The 21,996-nt window shown below is 38.8% G+C and overlaps 1 protein-coding gene across 18 annotated transcripts in view; it reads left to right on the forward strand.

Annotated features, from left to right (window-relative positions):
• PRRC2C (proline rich coiled-coil 2C) overlaps positions 1-21,996 on the forward strand; it is a 107,982-nt gene that overhangs the window by 42,849 nt on the left and 43,137 nt on the right. For all 18 annotated transcript variants that reach the window (XM_005245020.3, XM_005245015.3, XM_005245025.3 and 15 more), the window contains exons 12-18: positions 3,965-4,583; positions 7,050-7,219; positions 7,651-7,900; positions 8,885-9,095; positions 11,593-13,851; positions 17,101-17,309; positions 21,708-21,862. In XM_005245020.3, the coding sequence (XP_005245077.1) occupies positions 3,965-4,583; positions 7,050-7,219; positions 7,651-7,900; positions 8,885-9,095; positions 11,593-13,851; positions 17,101-17,309; positions 21,708-21,862 (3,873 nt within the window). The remainder of the gene's footprint in view (positions 1-3,964; positions 4,584-7,049; positions 7,220-7,650; positions 7,901-8,884; positions 9,096-11,592; positions 13,852-17,100; positions 17,310-21,707; positions 21,863-21,996) is intronic.

Raw genomic sequence — 21,996 nt, forward strand, 5'->3', positions numbered from 1 at the left:
CCTGGGTTCACAGCATTCTCCTGCCTCAGCCTCCTGAGTTGCTGGCACTACAGATGCCCGCCACCACGCCCGGCTAATTTTTTGTGTTTTTTTTAGTAGAGACGGGGTTTCACCGTGTTAGCCAGGACGGTCTCGATATCCTGACCTCGTGATCCGCCCACCTTGGCCTCCCAAAGTGCTGGGATTACAGGCGTGAGCCACCGCGCCCGGCCAATGAAATTCTTTTAGTGAACTATTTATACTTACCGTCTTTTGCTGCTCATTCTCTCATTAGCCCTCTCCAGGCATGCTTTCTTTTCCCACTCTACCTTTGAAACTATTATTATCAGAGTCAGTGATGACTTCCATCTTGACAAATTCAGTTTTCTTGTCTTCATCTCATTTAAATCTCAGCTGAGTCATTGACATAGTTGATTTCTCTATCCTTCTTTTGTATATGCATATATTTTTAGAGACAGGGTCTTGCTTTGTGGCCCAGGCTGGAGTGCAGTGGTGTAATCATAGCTCACTGCCACCTGGACTCCTGGGCTCAAGGGGTCCTCTCACCTCCCCAGCAGCTGGGACTGCAGGTGCACACCACCACGCCAGGCTAATTTTTTGCAGAGACAGGGTCTCACCTTCATGCCCAGGCTGGTCTCGAACTCCTAGACAAGATACCACCTTGACCTACCAAAGTGCTGGAATTACAGACTTGAGCCACCATCCCTGGCCTATCCTTAAAACACTTTTTTATCTACTTGCATCTGAGACACCTCGCTATTTTGTTTTTCTTTGCTTTCTATTCCTTCTGGGCCTCCTACACTTCGAGTGTTGGAGCACTCAGCCTTTTTCTCAGTCCATTTTAAAAATCTGTATCCTTTTCCTTGGGTATGTCTTCTATGAGCTGATGGCATTCAAATGTACATTTAGCCTGAAAAGCTTTGCACTGACTTTTAAGAGTCATATATTCAACAATCAACTCAACATCTCCACTTGGATCTCTAGTAAACAGCTCAAATATGTCCAAACCATAACACACACCCCCACCTTTCCTGCATACCCACAGTGCTGCTTCTCCTGTCTTTCCCATTTCAGGTAATGGCATTATCATTCACATATTTGCTAAGGCTGAAACTTAGAAGTTACTCTTAACTCTTCTTTTTTTACCCTACATCTAGCTTTATCTATCAGCAGATTGTCACCTGTACCTTCAAAATGTACACTGACTACTTGCTACCACCTTTTATATTTCCTTTGAACTATTGGAGTGGGTTCTTGACAGATACTGCTTTCCTCTTATGCTGCCTGCTCACTTGCCACCTTCATCCCATATTCTTCTGTAGTAGTTGTTGTCTTTTTAAAACTATGGATTAGGTCCGTTACTCCTTGTTCAAGTCCTTCTCATGATCTTTCAGATCTCTGTCTACTTTTCTAATTTCATCTGCTGTTCTTACCACATACACATTGCTCTTCTTGACTTTTTTACTTGTTCTTCTTTCTAACTAGCAGATTTTCTTTTCCTGAAATCGTTGTTATGATCAGGGTCTCCAGACCTTCTGTAATCACCCTACTGTGATAGCTGTACATATCACAACCATCACCATCGTTTCCAGCAATCCCTCTCCTCATAACCACTGAAAGCTCTTTATAACATTTCTGCGTACACAGAAACTAAAACTAAAACATCTAGAAAAAAGTATAGAAGATCAAGTGTTCATGAACTTGGAGCTGACAAAGTTTTCTTCGATAAATAAGACCTTGGCCACGAATTAGAAAGGAAAAGCAGCTGGTCAGTTGGACTTTGGAGAACATTTCCCAAAGAATGCAAAGATATGTTACAGAAAAAAATATTCCTAATACATCTGACGAAGGACTTGTAGCTGGGCTTTTTTTTTTTTTTTTTTTTTTTTGCGCAACAGAGTCTTGCTCTGTTGCCGAGGCTGGAGCAAGATCTCAGCTCATTGCAGCCTAAACCTCCTGGGCTCAAGCGATCCTCCTGCCTCAGCCTACCAAGTAGCTGGGACCACAGGCATGTGCCTCTATGCCCGGCTAATTTTTTTGTATTTTTTGTAGAGATGGGGTTTCGCCATGTTGCCCAGGCTAGTCTTGAATTCCTGAGCTCAAGCAGTCCTCCTGCCTTGGCCTCCTAAAGTGCTGGAATTCCAGATGTGAGCCACCGTGTCTAGCCTGGGCCGTATTTTTATTTTTTTTTTAATATCTTACAACTCAATAATACGTAGTTAAACAAAAAGACTTGAACATTTGTTTCTCAAAAGAAAATGTAAGAATGGCCAGTATGCACATGAAAAGATATTCAGTGTCTTTAGTTATTAGGGAAATACAAGTTAAAACCACTGAGATTTTACTGCACTGCCAGAATTAAAGACTGATGACACCATGTGTTGGCAAGGATGTATAGAGCAGCTGGCACCCTTATACATTGGAAAACCTTATAACCACTTTGGAAAACAGTTTGGCAGTTTCTTGTAAATGAAATATCTATTTACCATATGACACAGGATTTTCACTTGTAGCTGTTTATCCAACAGCCAGGAAAACATACATTTACACAAAGACTTACGCATGAATGTTCATAGCTGTTTTATTCATAGTTTAAAAACTGGAAGCAACCCACGTGTCTATCATACATGAAACAACGTGCCCACAATGGAATACTATCCAGCAGTAAAATGGAGCAAACTACTTATACATAAAATAACCTCAATGCCATTATACTTAGCAAAAGAAGCTAGCACAAAAGAGAATATAATTTTATACATGTATATAAAATTCTAGGACAAACAGAACTATACAAGGTTAGGGTTGGGGTGCTTGGGGCCACAGGGGGAGGCAGAGGAGTGATGGAAATGTTGTGTCTGCGTTGGAGCAGTGGTTACACAGGTGTATCATTTGTCCAAACTCATCAAACTATACACTTAAAATATGTGCAGCACAGCACATTTTATGTAAATTTTACTTTTATGAAGTGAGTTGTGTAAATTAGGCACTAATATATTTGGTTTTTCAGCTTATCTCTGAGCTGTGGATGAAGAAACTCAGCACAAGAGAGATGAAGTAATTTGCATATGATGGCACTATTAGTAAATGGTAGTCTGCATTCATTTAAAAAGATAGTCAAGTGTTTTCGTTGTGTCATTGTTTAATCTTTTTATAAGCATTCCAGCTGGGTTACATATGGCTCTTAAGATTTCTTCACCCTAGTAGCTTTTAAAATCAATATGTTAAAAACATTTTTTTAATTACTTTTATTGTTTTTGCATAGTTGCAAGCAGTGATTTTAAAACCTGTCATTGTTTTATAACACATTAATGAAAATTTAGTCATTGAAACTTGGATGTTTCAGATGATCCTCCGATTCTCCACTCCGGGTTCTAGATACGCTTTTCTGGATCTTTCAGTCTAAAGATAGAACTTTTCTTCACCCAGACTAATTTGTAGGAATTTCTTCTCCTTTGGGGTATCATTACAGCACTGACTCTGTCTTTTTCACTTTGCTTCTTTGGCTCTGTGCTTTTTACCTGTAGCTGTACCTTAATTTTCTCAGGGCTCACATGCCATCATTTTGGATATTTAATACCTTCATTTCTCTCCCTTAGACATTCCAACTCTGGCAGCTGCTTCTAAAGTATCCATGCTAAATTTCCTTTGTCTCTAAATTTAGATTTTGAGATTCACTGTTGTGCTTCTAGTTTTATTCAGCAAATACTGAATGAGCAACAACGTCTGGCACAATAATAGGTACATACTCAGTAAACATTGGACCGCTGGATTAATTATTCTGGTCTTAGTTTGGTGAATTATCTAGATGTAATATATTTCCCATCTTATGTGTTTTCATTTTAATGTGTATGTTCATCAGAGAAATTTCTGATATTTTTGTGGGGTTTTTCCTTCTCCATGCCTGATACCCAGTGTTAGTCAGAAATAGAGTTGTCATAACTCATCTGATACCTTAATGTTTCAGCATCCACCTCCAGATCGACAGGCAGTACCTGGAAGACCAGGCCCCTTTCCCTCCAAGCAGCAAGTAGCTGATGAAGATGAAATATGGAAGCAAAGACGAAGACAACAATCAGAAATTTCTGCAGCAGTAGAACGTGCTCGTAAACGGCGTGAAGAGGAAGAGCGAAGAATGGAAGAACAAAGGAAGGCAGCTTGTGCGGAGAAACTGAAACGATTGGATGAGAAGCTTGGCATCCTGGAAAAACAACCATCTCCAGAGGAAATTAGGGAAAGGGAGCGAGAAAAAGAACGGGAGCGTGAGAAAGAACTTGAAAAAGAACAAGAACAGGAGCGAGAGAAGGAGAGGGAAAAAGACAGAGAGAGACAGCAGGAAAAGGAGAAAGAGCTGGAGAAGGAGCAGGAAAAACAAAGAGAAATGGAGAAAGAAAGAAAGCAAGAAAAAGAAAAAGAACTAGAACGGCAGAAAGAAAAGGAAAAAGAACTACAAAAGATGAAAGAACAAGAAAAGGAATGTGAGCTGGAGAAGGAAAGGGAAAAATTAGAGGAGAAAATTGAACCCAGAGAACCTAATTTAGAGCCCATGGTAGAAAAACAAGAAAGTGAAAACAGCTGTAATAAAGGTTTGATAGTATTCTTCATTCTCTTTTAAAAACTTTACAAAGAGCTTTATGTTGGTTACAGTTTGGGGTTTGTATATTTTAAATATATGTAATCAATATAAAAGTGATTGTTTTATGATAGCATTTGCAGTACAAAATATGGGCTAGAGCCGTGTTTTCTAATTCTGTATATGAACAGACGTCTCTGAAGTGTTTCTCAGTTATTAGATGAGCTTCATTTCTGTTTTATCTGCAGAATTGTATTGGCTTCATAGTCACATATACTGATTCTCCCCCTGCTTTTTTCTGACTCCAAGACATTTAACTAAACAAAATCTCATTTGTTCACATGCATTAATACCTCTAAAACTGAACTGGCATAGAGCTTAATGAGTATGTTGGATTATCATAATTAAATGACTGCACCTAGTTCATAATTTCAGGTTTGCTGTTTAATCAGTTTAAACATGCAAGCTTCCATGGTGTAGTTGATATGCTATTAAACTGTAATTTCCTGGAGTAATTATACTTTAAAATAAAATTCTTTTTCTAGATCTAATCAACTTTTTTGTTCTTCTCCGAGTTGGCTTGTAGACTGATTAATGGCATTCAAATATAGTATAAAGCCTTGGCAAAGTTAAAGTTCAGGGTTTTCGTTTTTTGTTTGTTGTTGTTGTGGTGGTGGTGGTTGTTGTTGTTTTTGAGACAGAGTCTCTCTCTGTCTCCAGGCTGGAGTGCAGTGGCGGAATCTCAGCTCACTGCAAACTCCACCTCCCAGGTTCAAGTGATTCTCCTGCCCCAGCCTCCCAAGTAGCTGGGGCTACAGGCGCGTGCCACCGCACCCAGCTAATTTTTGTATTTTTAGTAGAGACGGGGTTTCACTATGTTGGCTAGCATAGCCTCAATCTCTTGACCTCGTGATCTGCCTGCCTCGGCCTCCCAAAGTACTGGGATTGTAGACGTGAGCCACCGCGCCCAGCCTAAAGTTTAGTTTTAATGAACGACTTGAATTAAAATAGAAATGCAGTTTTATTTCAGTGTATTTTCTGATGTGGAAATATTGTAAGTTTTCTAACCTGACGTCTCATGCTCTTTTCTACAAGGCACTGCTGCTTAAAATAATAAGAATGTGTTTTTAAAAATAAAGTTTTTATTTATATGCAGGGTTACCTTCAAACTTGGCTCTTAATTTAACTATAAAGGAGTATGAGTATTTTATCTTTAATTTTTTTAATGAAATAAGGCCTGTATGGACCATTTGTTAAGACTCTAAGATTTCAGATTTTTTTCATATTAATCAATCTAGAGAGACTTTGCTATTGAATAGTGGGCTTATATTACATAAGTACTTATGAAGATTGCTCATAACACCAAAATAGTGAAATAAAGTGTTCACAAGAGAAAGGAAAACATTATCATAGTTTAATAAGTTTTATTTGTGCTTTTATTTTCATTCACATTTTATATATTCTCTCTCATGGCAATTTAATTTTAGCTTGTTTATCAGTGAGATGTACCCATGTGATTTTTTTTTCCCCCCTCAATTCTGATACTAGACACATACAATTTTTTTGTTTGTTTTAATGCTCTCTGAGATGTTCTCAAGACACACGTGATTTTAAAGTCAGTGCCTATGTGGCTCTTTTTCCTCCAGTATATTATTTTCCATTCTTTTTTTTTTGGCTGTGTTGCCCAGGCTGGTCTCAAACTCCCAGGCTAAAGTGATCCTCTCACCTCAGCCTCCTGAGTTACTGTTATTACAGTCATGCACCACCATGACCTGCTCACTCTTTTACAACATTCTTAATATTGAATGTAATCCAAGCAATAAAAATGTTATTTGTGATTCTTAACAGCATGCTTTTACATTGGGAGATAAACTTCCATTTTAAATTCATTACTAGTCATTTGAGAAAAGAATTTGTAACAAGCGTGGATTTGTAATTGTGACAAATGACATTCTAGAATGAATTATGTTTGAAGATAACTAGTGATCACTCTGTTGTCTTCAGACTTAAACTCATTAGTTTTCCTTACAGATAATAGTCCCTTTACCCAATAAATAACTAAATAAACCAACATGCTCTCTTTTTAAGTATTTATAGGCCATTTGTGTTTTCATGTAGATTTTAATGAACTACCAGTAAATACTGACAATTACATTGATGTTTATTGAAACAAATAAAAAATATGTGGAGTTGGAAATGTTTCATTATTTAAAAAAAAAAAACATAGATTTTATATGATGAAGCATTTGGATCTCTGCTCTCCATCTCTAAGAATGCAGCTTTTAGGAAATCTAAGGTTTTGATAATCTAATGTTACCTCATTGATAACTACCAATGTTAAAGTAGAAAATAATGTTTTAGAGTGTCGAGGATATTTTCTTCCTCATTAACTTTTATTATACCTCAGTCTTTGTAAAAATCCTGTGTTTGATAAGTGTCATAGATGAATACTATTACCTTTCACCTTTTCTTTGAGCAGAGGAGGAACCCGTTTTCACTAGACAAGACAGCAATCGCAGTGAAAAGGAAGCCACACCAGTGGTGCATGAAACAGAACCAGAATCAGGGTCTCAACCTCGGCCGGCTGTATTATCTGGCTATTTCAAACAGTTTCAGAAGTCTTTACCTCCACGATTCCAGCGGCAGCAGGTAATGATAAAAATATTTTATCATGTATGTGTGATTGAAGTGGTTTATTATGCAGTAGTCTGGGAAATTAGACATAAAACTGATAATACGTAAAGCACACAAAGTTCCCTTGAAATTATTTTTCCTTGTAAATAAAAGTTAACGTGGGTTTTACCTTGACCTTCTGTGTCATTCCTTTTGATCTTCTGCCTCATTTATAGACACCATCTTCCATTTCTAGGAGATAGATCATACAGTGCTTGAGTATAAGGTAAAATGTTATAGTTCATCTTTCAGTTTTTTGTCTTGCCAACTCTTAACTGTTAAATACCTTTTGAACTCTTACTTTTCCTTCAAGGATTCAAAACAGGCCATTATTTTGTGATATGATTGATTATGTTAATTTGTCATGTGGAACTAAACTCTCAAGATATGGGATCTTACTTTTTCAGGAACAGATGAAACAGCAGCAGTGGCAGCAGCAGCAACAGCAAGGTGTACTTCCACAGACTGTTCCTTCACAACCGTCCAGTAGTACTGTCCCTCCTCCACCACACAGACCTCTTTATCAGCCTATGCAGCCTCATCCTCAGCATTTGGCTTCTATGGGTTTTGATCCAAGGTGGCTCATGATGCAGTCCTACATGGATCCTCGAATGATGTCAGGAAGACCTGCTATGGATATTCCACCCATTCATCCTGGTCAGTTGAATTTGCATTTATAGTTTTACAGGATCAAAATTTTTTTTTCCCTGCTTTTAGTTTCAGTTCCTTTGAGAGTTGTAATCTAGGAAAAACTTAAACCTCCGATTTTTAATCAAAATGATGTAACTTTCAGCATCGAGTAATTAAATATCTGACACTCATATTACTTATGTGGCAAGAACAAAATACTAGTTCATTTCTGTTTTGTAAGTATTATTTAAAACTTCAGATGGAAATAATTATGTGTTATTAACAGTATTTGTTATTGGCTACATTGTTGTTCTTCTTTAAAGTGTTTTCAGCGTTTGAATTTTGTCCATATGTTATATATATTCCTTTTCAAGTTCTTCTTCCATCATTTACCAACCTAACACTTGAATTTCCTTTTAGGTTAGGGGGAAAAAAAGTGAATTAGCAGTCTTTTATGGAATCCATCAGAATAAATCAAGATAATCTATTACCAAAATGTTACAGAGGAAAATTTAGGGATGATAAGCTGATCACAAATCATGTTTTGATTTTTACATTTATACTGGTATTTGGAAATTTAAGTGGCATATTTTGTAGAATATTGACCAACTAAGGTAGGTTAATGGAATTTAGGAAAGAATTTTCTCTGAAAGTTATCATAGTATAATTTTCATGATGTTTGTATTGACATCCAGAGTCACAGTACTTGGTGTCTGATTTTTATATGCATAATATTTTCTTTCTTTTGAAGTAAAACAGGCTGCTATTGTGATTTTGCTTATTTTGCTTCCTCAGTTCTTAAATGCAATTTTTATTTAACAGCAGTAATAAAATTCCATTCACAGAACAACCCTTACATAATTTCCACCAATCTTTTACTCAGGAAAAAAATGCTTTTAATATGGAGAATTCCACCTAACAATTAATAACCTGTATTCTATGTCTATCATGGTTTTGTTTCGTTCATTTTTCAAAATCCTCATTTCACCTTTTTCTGAACTTTTGTTACAGGAATGATTCCTCCTAAACCATTAATGAGAAGAGACCAGATGGAAGGGTCACCGAACAGTTCTGAGTCATTTGAGCATATAGCTCGATCTGCAAGAGATCACGCAATTTCCCTTTCTGAGCCTCGTATGCTGTGGGGGTCAGATCCCTATCCTCATGCTGAGCCTCAACAAGCAACTACTCCCAAAGCAACAGAAGAGCCTGAGGATGTAAGGTAATAAATTATTTCAATTTAATAGATGATACAGAATATTTTGGTAAAAGGAAAACTGTGTAGTGTTTCTGAAGATCATTCCAATTTAGGACTGAAGCATAAATCTGGTTTCCTTCTATTTAATTTAGCATGCTACGCTTACTCTTTGGACATATTCTCTGTATTCATTAGGGCATTTTGTAACCTGGTTCTGTACTCAATTGTATGCTGTAATTTAGTATTAGATGTTGAAATTGGTAGGTTCTTTTTTGAGATAGGAACTTGCTCTGTTATTCAGGCTGGAGTGCGTTGGTATGATCTTGGCTCACTGCAGCGTTCACCTCCCAGGCTCAAGTGATCGGCTTACCTCAGCTTCCTGAGTGGCTGAGACTACATGCGTTCACCACCACACCCCGCTAATCTTTGTGGGGTTTTTTGTTTTGTTTTTGTTTTTGTTTTTGTTTTTGAGACAGAGTCTTGCTCTGTCTCCCAGGCTGGAGTGCAGTGGCGCGATCTCAGCTCACTGCAAGCTCTGCCTCCCGGGTTCACACCATTCTTCTGCCTCAGCCTCCTGAGTAGCTGGGACTACAGGCACCCGCCACCACGCCCAGCTAAATTTTTGTATTTTTAGTAGAGACGGGGTTTCACCGTGTTAGCCAGGATGGTCTCGATCTCCTGACCTTGTGATAATCTTTGTATTTTTTATAGAGATGGGGTTTTGCCGTGTTGCCCAGGCTGGTCTTGAACTCTTGGGCTCAAGCAGTCTGACTGCCTTACCTCCCAAAGTGCTGGGATTATAGACGTGAGCCATCGTGTGCAGCCACTTGGGATGTCTTTATTGTAGAGTAGGTGTGAAGAAATTTAGGTGTATCTACAATGCTTATATAATATAGCTAGATGTAATTTTTCCATTAGTGAGATGTTTCTTTTTAACAGTATTTTAGGGAACATTTTTAAGGCCAAGATAAGGAGAAATACAATAATACAAAGTTAACTTTGAAATGGCGCACAATTGGTGATGACTGTAATAATTTATAGCCATACAGTTGGAACTTCCTGCCCTTTTATGGGCTATATTTTTTTGGTAATGTTTTATAATGTTTTATAATTATTTGTAATTAACTGGGACAGATAAGCTTACTCAAGTGTACTCTTTCATTCTAGGTGGAAATTACTGGTCTTGATGGATTAGAAATTCACATCAGCATGGTCTTAACTTTGTTTTTCCTTAAGGAATAAACTTCATTTATTTATTTCTATTTTTTATTTTTATTTTTTGAGAAGGGTCTCGCTCTGTCAGCCAGGCTGGAGTGCAGTGATGCAATCACAGCTCACTGCAGCCTTGACCTCCCAGGCTCAAGTGATCCTCTCACCTCAGCCTCCTGAGTAGTTGGACTACAGGCATGCAGTACCATACCCGGCTAATTTTTGTATTTTTTGTACAGACAGGGTTTTTTCATGTTGCCCTGGCTGGTCTCAAACTCCTGGGGCCCTAGTGATCCTCCTGCCTCCCAGAGTGCAAGGATTACAGGCATGAGCCACCGCTTCAGGCCCATTTTTTTTTTTTTAATGGAGTTTTGCTCTTGTTGCCCAGGCTGGAGTGCAATGGTGCCATCTCAGCTCACCGCAACCTCCGCCTCCCGGGTTCAAGCGATTCTCCTGCCTCAGCCTCCCTAGTAGCTGGGATTACAGGCATGTGCCACCACGCCCAGCTGATTCTGTATTTTTAGTAGAGACGGGGTTTCTCCATGTTGGTCAGGCTGGTCTCGAACTCCCGACCTCAGGTGATCCGCCCTCCTCGGCCTCCCAAAGTGAGGATTGGGATTACAGGCGTGAGCCACCGCACCCGGCCCTATTTATTTTTAATTGTGGCAGAAACCACTTAGAACATTAGATATATCCTCTTAACAAAAATTTAATCATATGGTACCATGTAGTTAACTGTAAGCAGTGTTATACAGCAAATCTCCAGAACTTTTTTTTATCTTGCATGACTGAAACTTTATACCTATTTCCTATTCTTACCTTTACCTATATTTCCTATATTTACCTTTACCTATATTTCCTATATTATACCTATACCTATATTTCCTATTTCCCCCTACTCCTAGCCCCTGGCAGCCACCATTATGGTTTCTGCTTTGATGAAGTTGATTATTTCATGTTCCTCATGTAAGATATTTGTCCTGACTGACTGACTTCACTTAAGCATAATGTCCTCAGGGTTTATCCATGTTGTAGCATATGACACTATTTCCTTCTTTTTTATCCCTGAATAATATTCTATTGTATGTGTATACCACATTTTCTTTATCCATTCAGCTATTGGATATTTAGGCTGTTTCCACCTCTTGGCTATTGTGAGTAATTCTCCTCTAAACTTTTTATATAGCGAGAGAAAGATTCTCATTATGGTTAAGAGTCATTGCTTTCTGTTTTAGAGGGATTATTTTGCTATATACTTACGCATGGGAAAGATTGCTTTGTTGATTATACCTTTGAATTCTTATCATCATAGGTCTGAAGCTGCGTTGGACCAGGAACAGATTACTGCTGCTTATTCTGTAGAACATAATCAATTAGAGGCTCACCCAAAGGCAGACTTTATCAGAGAATCAAGTGAGGCACAAGTACAAAAGTTTTTAAGCAGATCTGTGGAAGATGTTAGACCTCACCATACTGATGCAAATAATCAGTCTGCTTGTTTTGAAGCACCTGATCAAAAGACCTTATCCGCTCCTCAAGAGGAGCGGATTTCAGCTGTAGAAAGTCAGCCTTCCCGGAAAAGAAGTGTTTCCCATGGATCTAACCATACGCAAAAACCAGACGAGCAGAGAAGTGAACCATCTGCAGGCATTCCTAAAGTAACCAGCAGATGCATTGATTCAAAAGAACCAATAGAAAGGCCAGAGGAGAAACCAAAAAAGGAAGGCTTTATACGATCTTCTGAAGGACCAAAACCTGAAAAAGTATATAAATCTAAATCAGAAACTCGTTGGGGCCCACGACCAAGCTCTAACAGAAGGGAAGAAGTTAATGATAGACCTGTGAGAAGATCAGGTCCCATTAAAAAACCTGTACTTAGAGATATGAAAGAGGAACGGGAACAGAGGAAGGAGAAAGAAGGAGAAAAGGCCGAAAAGGTCACTGAAAAAGTAGTTGTAAAGCCTGAAAAGACGGAAAAGAAGGATCTTCCTCCTCCCCCACCACCACCTCAGCCACCAGCACCAATTCAGCCACAGTCAGTTCCACCACCAATTCAACCAGAAGCAGAGAAATTTCCTTCAACAGAAACTGCAACTTTGGCTCAAAAACCATCTCAGGATACTGAGAAGCCTCTGGAACCTGTGAGTACTGTTCAGGTAGAGCCTGCAGTTAAGACTGTAAACCAACAGACTATGGCAGCACCAGTAGTCAAAGAAGAAAAACAACCTGAGAAAGTCATCAGCAAAGACCTTGTTATAGAGAGGCCTCGACCAGATTCAAGACCAGCAGTTAAAAAAGAATCAACTTTGCCTCCCAGGACCTATTGGAAAGAAGCTAGAGAGAGAGATTGGTTTCCAGATCAAGGATACAGAGGTCGAGGCCGAGGTGAATATTACTCCAGAGGTCGAAGCTATAGAGGTTCTTATGGAGGGCGTGGCAGGGGTGGTAGGGGACACACTCGAGATTATCCTCAGTATAGAGACAATAAGCCAAGAGCAGAGCATATACCCTCAGGGCCTCTCAGACAGCGAGAAGAAAGTGAAACACGGAGTGAGAGCTCTGATTTTGAAGTTGTCCCCAAAAGAAGACGACAGCGGGGTTCAGAGACTGACACAGACAGTGAAATTCATGAAAGTGCAAGTGACAAGGACAGTTTAAGTAAAGGCAAACTTCCCAAAAGAGAGGAACGGCCTGAAAACAAAAAACCTGTAAAGCCTCATTCTTCTTTCAAGCCTGATAATCATGTTCGAATAGATAATAGACTGCTAGAAAAGCCTTATGTAAGGGATGACGATAAAGCTAAACCAGGCTTTCTTCCTAAAGGAGAGCCTACAAGGAGAGGCAGAGGGGGAACATTCAGGCGTGGTGGAAGGGATCCTGGAGGCCGTCCATCACGCCCTTCCACTTTACGAAGACCAGCTTATCGGGACAATCAGTGGAACCCAAGGCAGTCAGAAGTTCCTAAACCAGAAGATGGAGAGCCGCCAAGAAGACATGAGCAGTTTATTCCTATAGCAGCAGATAAACGACCTCCAAAATTTGAGCGAAAATTTGACCCAGCTAGAGAAAGGCCTCGAAGGCAGCGTCCTACTCGACCACCAAGGCAAGACAAGCCACCTCGATTTAGACGGCTAAGAGAGAGGGAGGCTGCTTCAAAATCAAATGAGGTGGTAGCAGTGCCCACAAATGGCACAGTTAATAATGTGGCTCAAGAACCAGTTAATACTCTTGGGGATATTTCCGGGAATAAGACACCAGATTTATCTAATCAGAACTCTTCAGATCAGGCAAATGAAGAATGGGAAACAGCTTCTGAAAGCAGTGATTTCAATGAGAGGCGAGAGAGGGATGAAAAAAAAAATGCTGACTTGAATGCACAAACAGTTGTAAAGGTTGGAGAGAATGTTCTACCTCCAAAGAGGGAAATTGCAAAGAGAAGTTTTTCTAGTCAGAGACCAGTAGATCGTCAGAATCGACGTGGCAACAATGGTCCACCCAAATCAGGAAGGAATTTCTCAGGTCCTAGAAATGAAAGGAGAAGTGGCCCACCATCAAAAAGTGGGAAGAGAGGGTGAGTACTTTGTTTTAAATATAGTTGCTTTTGCACCTTTAAAGAAGCTAAAAGTAGAGTTCTTGGTTGAATTATGCAAAGAGCCAGTCTAGATAAAGGACCAAAAAACATTGTTCTTCCCAAATGCTTTATTCTCTGTTCTCAAAGTGTAAGGGTGCTTAAGGAAGAGAGGTTAAGGTGTCTTAGGAGTCTTTGCCTGCTACGTTACATTTTCCAGAAGAGTTCTCTTGGAAACTTGTAGCTTTGGGAAAATGTTCACATCTAAGGAGGGACATGTACTGTGTCCTTATTTGGTAAGTTATCTGATGAGTAGCCCTCCCTTCTTTCTCAGTTTCTCCTAATAAACCTCTAATGCTACACAGGTGTCCTCTGAGATTTAAATTAATGTTATAACCATATACTTTGTCACTCTAGAGAGAGGCCCAGAAAACAAATCCCTGTTCTACTACCAAGGACACCAATAACATAATTGCCATGGCAATGGATTTTTTTAAAAAAATATTTTTTCTCAAGTAAGCTAAACTTGGCCTGTTTTTTGTTGTTGTTGTTGAGATGGAGTCTCGCCTTGTCACCCAGGCTGGAGTGCAGTGGCGTGATCTCGGCTCACTGCAAGCTCCACCTCCAGGGTTCATGCCATTCTCCTGCCTCAGCCTCCCAAGTAGCTGGGACTACAGGTGCCCACCACCATGCCTGGTTAATTTTTTGTATTTTTAGTAGAGACGGGGTTTCACTGTGTTAGCCAGGATGGTCTCGATATCCTGACCTCGTGATCCACCCGCCTCGGCCTCCCAAAGTGCTGAGATTACAGGTGTGAGCCACTGCACCTGTTGCTTGGCCTGTTTTTTTAACTATTCAGATGTTGGGCCTGGTGCGGTGGCTCCTGTAATCCCAGCACTTTGGGAGGCCAAGTTGGGCGGGTCACAAGGTCAGGATATCGAGACCATCCTGGCTAACACAGTGAAACCCCGTCCTCTACTAAAAATACAAAAAATTAGCCAGGTGTGGTGGCAGGCGCCACTGGGAGTGGAGCTTGCAATGAGCCGAGATTGTGCCACTGCATTCCAGCCTGGGCCACAGAGCGAGACTCCGTCTCAAAAAAAAAAAAAAAAAAGTTGGTTATAGTAAGCTAGTATTGATTTATTTATTTAGTGTTAGCATTATAACGTAGCAGTTAAGATTCAGAATGCCTAGGTTCAAATCTCGGCTCTAGTACTTTCTAGTTGCTTCCCCTTTGCTTCCTCACCGCTAAAATGGGGAGAAAATAATAGCACTTAATGTGTGAAGATACTAAGATGATACTTGTGATGCACTTAATACCTGGTATATAGTAAGTAATCATTATTATGTGTGCCCTGCTTTTAGAGCAATTGCCAGGTTTGCAGCCTGAGCTGATAAGAATTTAAGAATTTATTTGGACTGTATGGTATTAATCTGAGTTCCTTAGTTTTACATACTTAGCACTTCAGATTACTATACCCATAAGGTATATTTGTCTATTTTCTGTTGATATAACTAAATACCTGAGATCTGGTAATTTATAAAGAAAAGAAATGTATTTCTTGCAAATCTGTTGGCTGCAAAGTCGAAGGTTGAGGGGGCGACATCTCATGAGGGCCTTCTTGTTGGTAGAGACTCTGCAGAGTCCCAAGGCAGCATGCTTATCACATGGTGAGGGGGCTCACAAGAGATGGCACAACTGGCTTTTATAACAGACCCGTTCATGGTAACTAACCAACTCCCTTGATAACCCATTCATTAACCTGTTAAGGATCAATCAATCCATTCAGAAGGGCAGAGCCCTCATGACATAATCACCTTCCAAAGTTCTCACCTCTCACCACTGCTGCATTGCCATTAGGGACCAAGTTTCCAACACATGAACTTTTTTTTTTTTATTGAGGGCGTGGGTGAGGGACGGAGTCTCACTCTGTCACCCAGGCTGGAGTGCAGTGGCGCAATCTCTGCTCACTGCAACCTCCACCCCGCTGGGTTCAAGCATTTCTCCTGGCTCAGCCTCTCTAGTAGCTGGGATTACAGGCGTACACTACCATGCCCGGCTAATTTTTGTATTTTTAGAAGAGACAGGGATTCGCCATGTTTGCCAGGCTGGTCTCGAACTCCTGACCTCAGGTGATCTGCCCACCTCGGCCTCCCAAAGTGCTGGGATTACAGGTGTGAGCCACTGCACGTGGCCCAACACATGAACTTTTGAGGGATATGTTCAAATCACAGCATTAGTTTGCTGTTCCAGATAATTTAGAAAAAGGAAATTTTTACTTGGAATTTGAACATTCCCTTAAAATTCCAAGAGAATCAGGATAACCAAAATAAACAGAATAGTTTATTTCCCGTAACCAAACTATTAGAATTTTAAGTAACAATACTCAGGGAAAATTTTGATAAGATTTTTGTGCCATGTAAATCTCAACTATGTAGCAAGATTTTTGTGCCACATAGATAGATAACAACAACTTTGAACCTGTAGAAATGGCAGTGACGATTATAATTAAATGTTTTTTATAAGAGCACCATATAGAAGAAATGAACTCATTCTTAAAATGTTTCAGGTTATGACCAGGGACCTGGTAAGCTTTTATCTTGAGTAATACTATAGGCTAAGATGCAAATGAATTAGTAAACCCATTTCCCATGATCATTTTCACTTGGAAATTTAAAAAAACAACCTGAAATTATTCTTTTAGGAAATAAGAACTATTAAGAACTGTAGGGGATACATTTGGTTTGTGAAGTGAATTATTTCCATATTAAAGTTTTTTAAATAATTATATCAATGTGTAAATCTGATTACATTTTTTTAAATGTACATAGTTGTAAATATAGAATGCTTTTTAAAAATTTTTGTTTTCATATGCTGCCCACTTTTGGAGAGCATCCATTTGTGAATACTTTGAACTTGCTTGGATCACAGAAATTTTCTGCTATAAACAGTGTTAATTAGCTCATTTATAATATGATAGACAAATAGACTCTAAGAACTTCTGGTATAACTAGAATTCTAGAATTTAATTGCTGGAAAGAACTCTAGGGAGCTAGTCTACTTTCTTGGGAAACCCGGTTTTAGTAAGGTTGTGCTGAACAAAAGTTACTAATGCTTGTTTGGTTACAGTTAAGAGTTTTCTATCCCAACAGTGTTTCATCTTAGAATGAACTTTAGAAACTGCCAATAAGAGCATTTTTCTTTTGTTTGGGTAGGTGGAAATAGTAATATCTCAAGTTATTTTTTTGTAGGCCATTTGATGACCAGCCTGCAGGCACAACTGGGGTTGACCTCATCAATGGCAGCTCTGCACACCATCAGGAAGGAGTACCTAATGGTACAGGACAAAAGAACTCCAAAGATTCTACTGGGAAAAAAAGAGAAGACCCCAAACCAGGCCCTAAAAAACCAAAAGAGAAAGTGGATGCTCTATCACAGTTTGATCTCAACAATTATGCAAGTATGTCTTAGGTTTCTTTCATTTTATTTATTTATTTATTTATTTATTTATTTATTTATTTGCTACATTTTAAAATGTAGATGCCACAATTAAAGAAGTTTTCCAAGAAGGAAAGATTTGGACATTCAAGGTATACATAGTGGCTGATTATGAAACACTAACTGATTGAACTTAAACTAAAATAACTCCAGCTTTTAGCGTAGCCTTGAATGCTTAATAAAATTTTTGTTAAAAATAATCCAACAGCATTGCACTGTTCTTCCAAAAAAGAGGAAGAAAATTCAGTAACCACTCTACTTTGCCAGATTTGAGAAAGCACAGAAATTTGATTCTTAGTTATATTGGTATAGATGTATTATTAAAAACAAAAGGAACTAAATGTTAAACTCAATAATTATGTCCTTGGTAAAATTGGTGTCTAAGATGTGGCAAATACAGAATAAATAATAGGACGAGAGGCAGTGTCACTGTGGATAAATAGGAAAGCCATGAAGTAATAGAGGATCAAATATGAAGGATAATACAAGCAACAAGAAAATATTGGATGAAGAAAAAACAGACAAGGAATATCTGTGTATAGACATTGTACATGTAAAATGTACTATTTGCCATTCATTTGGATGAAACTGGAAATACTGAATAAAATTGAGAGATTTACTAAGTTAAGACCAGATAGCTCAATAGTGGTAATAATAGTAGTAATAGGAAAGTTGGGTTAGTTGCAGTTATTCTAGTATAAGAGATATAGATGAGGTTTTTCTTTCATCTGCCTAATTGTTATTTGTACATATTAAGCTCTGATTTGAGCACAGCTCATGGACATTATTTTTTGACCAGTGGTTCTCAAAGTGTGGTCCCCACATCATCAGCATTACCTGGAAATTTGTGAGCAATGCAAATTCTTCATTTGTTTGTTTGTTTGTTTGTTTTGAGACAGAGACTTACTCTGTTGCCCAGGCTGGTGTACAGTGATGCAATCTCGGCTCACTGCAACATCTGCATCCCAGACGTCAAGCGATTCCCCAGCCTCAGCTTCCCGAGTAGCTGGGAGTACAAGCATGAGCCACCATGCCCAGCTAATTTATTATTATTATTATTATTATTTTTGTTTGTAGAAATGGGTTTTCGCCATGTTGTCCAGGTCGGTCCGGAACTCCTGAGCTTAAGCCATCCACCCACCTTGGCCTCCCAAAGTGCTGGGATTACGGGCATGAGCCACCACGCCCAGCCATAATATTGCTATATTAAGACATAATAGGCCCAGGGCAGTGGCCCAGGCCTGTCATCCCAGCACTTTGGGAGGCTGAGGTGGGCGGATCACCTGAGGTTGGGAGTTTGAGACCAGCCTGACCAACATGGAGAAACCTTGTCTCTAAAAATACAAAATTAGCCAGGCATGGTGGTGCATGCCTGTAAAAACAAAACAAAACAAAAAAGACAGTAAAAACAGATAAAAACTATATATATTTCTGAAGTGGTGATAGAAATTAAGCTATTCATTTCAACTCATTAAAGTTATCTTTAAGAGTTAGTCGTCTTTAGTTCTTTTTCCTGGTAACACTGTTTTTAAGTAATATCTCTAACCTAAAATGTTAAAAAGAAGAGGACATTGGAAACTAAAAAGTAGTGTTCGAATTTTCCATAAATGCTACATGTAGTTGGGTGAACTAAGGAAGTTGAAATAATAAGATAGGCTTTACACACACACATTTTAGTGTAAGTGAAAAACTGAGATGAAATTAGAATTATGATGAGGTCTTTCCATCAGTCTGAAGTAATGTGTGCATGACATCCTTTGAAATGTTTGACTTAGACCTTTCATGGAAATGAGAATATGCTTCATTTTACAGAGTTAATGATTTTTAAAAGGATTTTAAAAACAAGTAGAAGTGTTTTATAAATCAGAATAAACTGGGTTTTTTTCTTTTGAAATCAAGTTTCCCTTCTTTTTTTTTTTTGTTTTTTTTTTTTTTTGAGACACAGTCTTGCTCTGTCCCCCAGGCTGGAAGGCGGTGGTGTAATCTCAGCTCACTGCAACCTCTACCTCCTCGGTTCAAGTGATTCTCCTGCCTCAGCCTCCTTAATAGTTAGGATTACAGGCACATGCCACCATGCCCAGCTAATTTTTTGTATTTTTAGTAGCGACTTTAGTAGAGGGTTTCGCCATGTTGGCCAGGCAGCTCTCAAACTCCTGACTTCAAGTGATCCGCCCACCTTGGCCTCCCAAAGTGCTGGGATTAAAGGCATGAGCCACCGTGCCTGGCTGAAATCAAGTTTCTATTAGAAAAATGGAATAATGGTAATGTCTCGCCCTGTCACCCAAGCTGGAGTACAGTGGCGTGATCTCGGCTCACTGCAACCTCTGCCTCCCAGGTTCAAGCGATTCTCCTACCTCAACCTTCTGAATAGGTGGGACTACAGGCGCGCACCACTATTCCCAGCTAATTTTTTGTATTTTTAGTAGAGAGAGGGTTTTTTACCATGTTAGCCAGGCTAGTCAGGAACTCCTGACCTCATGTTATCCGCCTTCCTTGGCCTCCCAAAGTGCTGGGATTACAGGTGTGAACCACCATGCCCAGCCAGTTTCTAAGGAGTGAAAGCCAGTATTCATTTTTCATTTCATCTCTCAGAGTATGTTAATGCTAAGTTTTAACTATTTTAGAAGAAATGTTTGTAGATAGTTTCTCTGTGACCACTTCCTTGATCATACCTATGTTGCCATAGCTAACAAGTATCACCTTCCCTTGTTGCTGTACCTAACAAGTTATCACCATCCTGAATTGTATACTTATCGTTTCCAAGAAAAATATTTTTATTGTATATGTAATTTCCAATTAAAACATGGTATATTGTTTGAAAATTAAATAATTTCTTTAAATTGCTTCACTCTTTCTTGATACTTATTATTCAGACATTATACCTATAATAAAAAATTACATCACCTGAGGTAATTTAATTTTTCTTGGAAATATTATTTGATGGATTTATATTTCACATACTGACTGGGATATAGGGTAATTTTAAGATAGCCAAAATAATTGGTTAGTTGGAAAATAAGTTAAAAAATGATCTTGAGTTGTTCATCACCTAGATGATTCTGGTATGTGTTCACCTATGCCATCTTACATTCACACACAGCTTACACATTTATTTTAATTAATTAACTTATTCATTTCTTTATTTATTGAGACAGGGTCTTGCTCTCCCAGGCTGGAGTGCAGTGGCTTGATCTCAGCTCATTGCAGTCTCAACCTCCCCAACTGAAGTGATTCTCCTACCTCAGCCTGCCAAGTAGCTGGGACCACAGGCATGCGCCAGCTAATTTTTGCATTTTTTGTAGAGACAGGGTTTCACTGTGTTGCCCATAACATATATTTATTTTTAACAACTCCACACTGTAGACAAGGGTCTACATAAAACAGAGACATTAAGAGTCATAAGACCAGCTAGGCTGGTCATCTTACCTTAAACAAATCAGTTTATTTCATTTTTTAAAACATTATTTATTTATTTATGTGTTTGTTTTTAAAGTAGAGACAAGGTCTCCCCATGTTGCCCAGGCTGGTGTGAAACTGTTGGCCTGAAATGGTCCTCCCACTTTGGCCTCCCATTATGCTGATACTACAGGCATGTGCCACAGCACTAAGCCAATTTATTTCATTTTTTGAAAAGGAGAAATAATAGTAACAGCCACCTCTTAGAATGGTTAGATGCAAATGAGGTAGAATGCTTTGTAGATCTTTTAAAGCACTATACAGTCTGAGGCTAAGAGATGGAGGTTAGGTCATAGGATAATTTTGATTTTTTTTCTTTTTTAAGGCATTACTTCTATATTACTTAAGGAAAAGAAAAAAGACCTATATCATTCAAAACAGGTATTTTTAGGATTTTTTGGACAGAGTCGCACTCTGTCACCCAGGCTGGAATGCAGTGGCACGGTCTCAGCTCATTGCAACTTCCACCTCCCAGGTTCAAGTGATTCTTGTGCTTCAGCCTCCTGAGTATCTGGGACTACAGGTATATACCACCACACACATCTAATTTTTGTATTTTTAGTAGAGACAGAGTTTTGCCATGTTGGCCAGGCTGGTCTCAAACTTCCGGCCTCAAGCAGTATGCCCATCTCGGCCTCCAAAAGTGCTGGGATTACAGACGTGAGCCACTGCACCTGGCCAGTTTTAGGATTTTTATTTTCAACTTTAAGAGTATGAAATCTTTTCAGATCTTTACAATGAATGGCCATGCAATAGGGTGAGAAATAGGTTATACACTATAAGTTATAGGAACTAGGCCTTTGGCTAGTTTTTTTTTTTTTTTTAAGTACTACTGTACTAAACATTTTTATTAATTTTCATTTGAAAAACAGAAAATATCTTAAATCCTTTCCCACACCCACAGGTGTTGTTATAATTGATGATCATCCTGAAGTAACAGTAATTGAAGATCCCCAGTCAAATTTGAATGATGATGGTTTTACTGAAGTGGTATCCAAAAAACAACAAAAACGTTTACAGGATGAAGAACGCCGAAAGAAGGAAGAACAAGTCATACAGGTTTAAATCTTGTTTCAACTTGTTGCTAGTTATCTAGATTTGTTGCCCAAAGTGTATCAGCAAATGTTCAAGGTTTTTATACTTGTCAAGGCTGTTTTCATTATTCAAGTGTTAAAAGTGACATCATCTTCCCA

The sequence above is a fragment of the Homo sapiens genome, chromosome 1 (genome assembly GCF_000001405.40).
Source record: "Homo sapiens chromosome 1, GRCh38.p14 Primary Assembly".
Taxonomy (NCBI): Eukaryota; Metazoa; Chordata; class Mammalia; order Primates; family Hominidae; genus Homo; species Homo sapiens.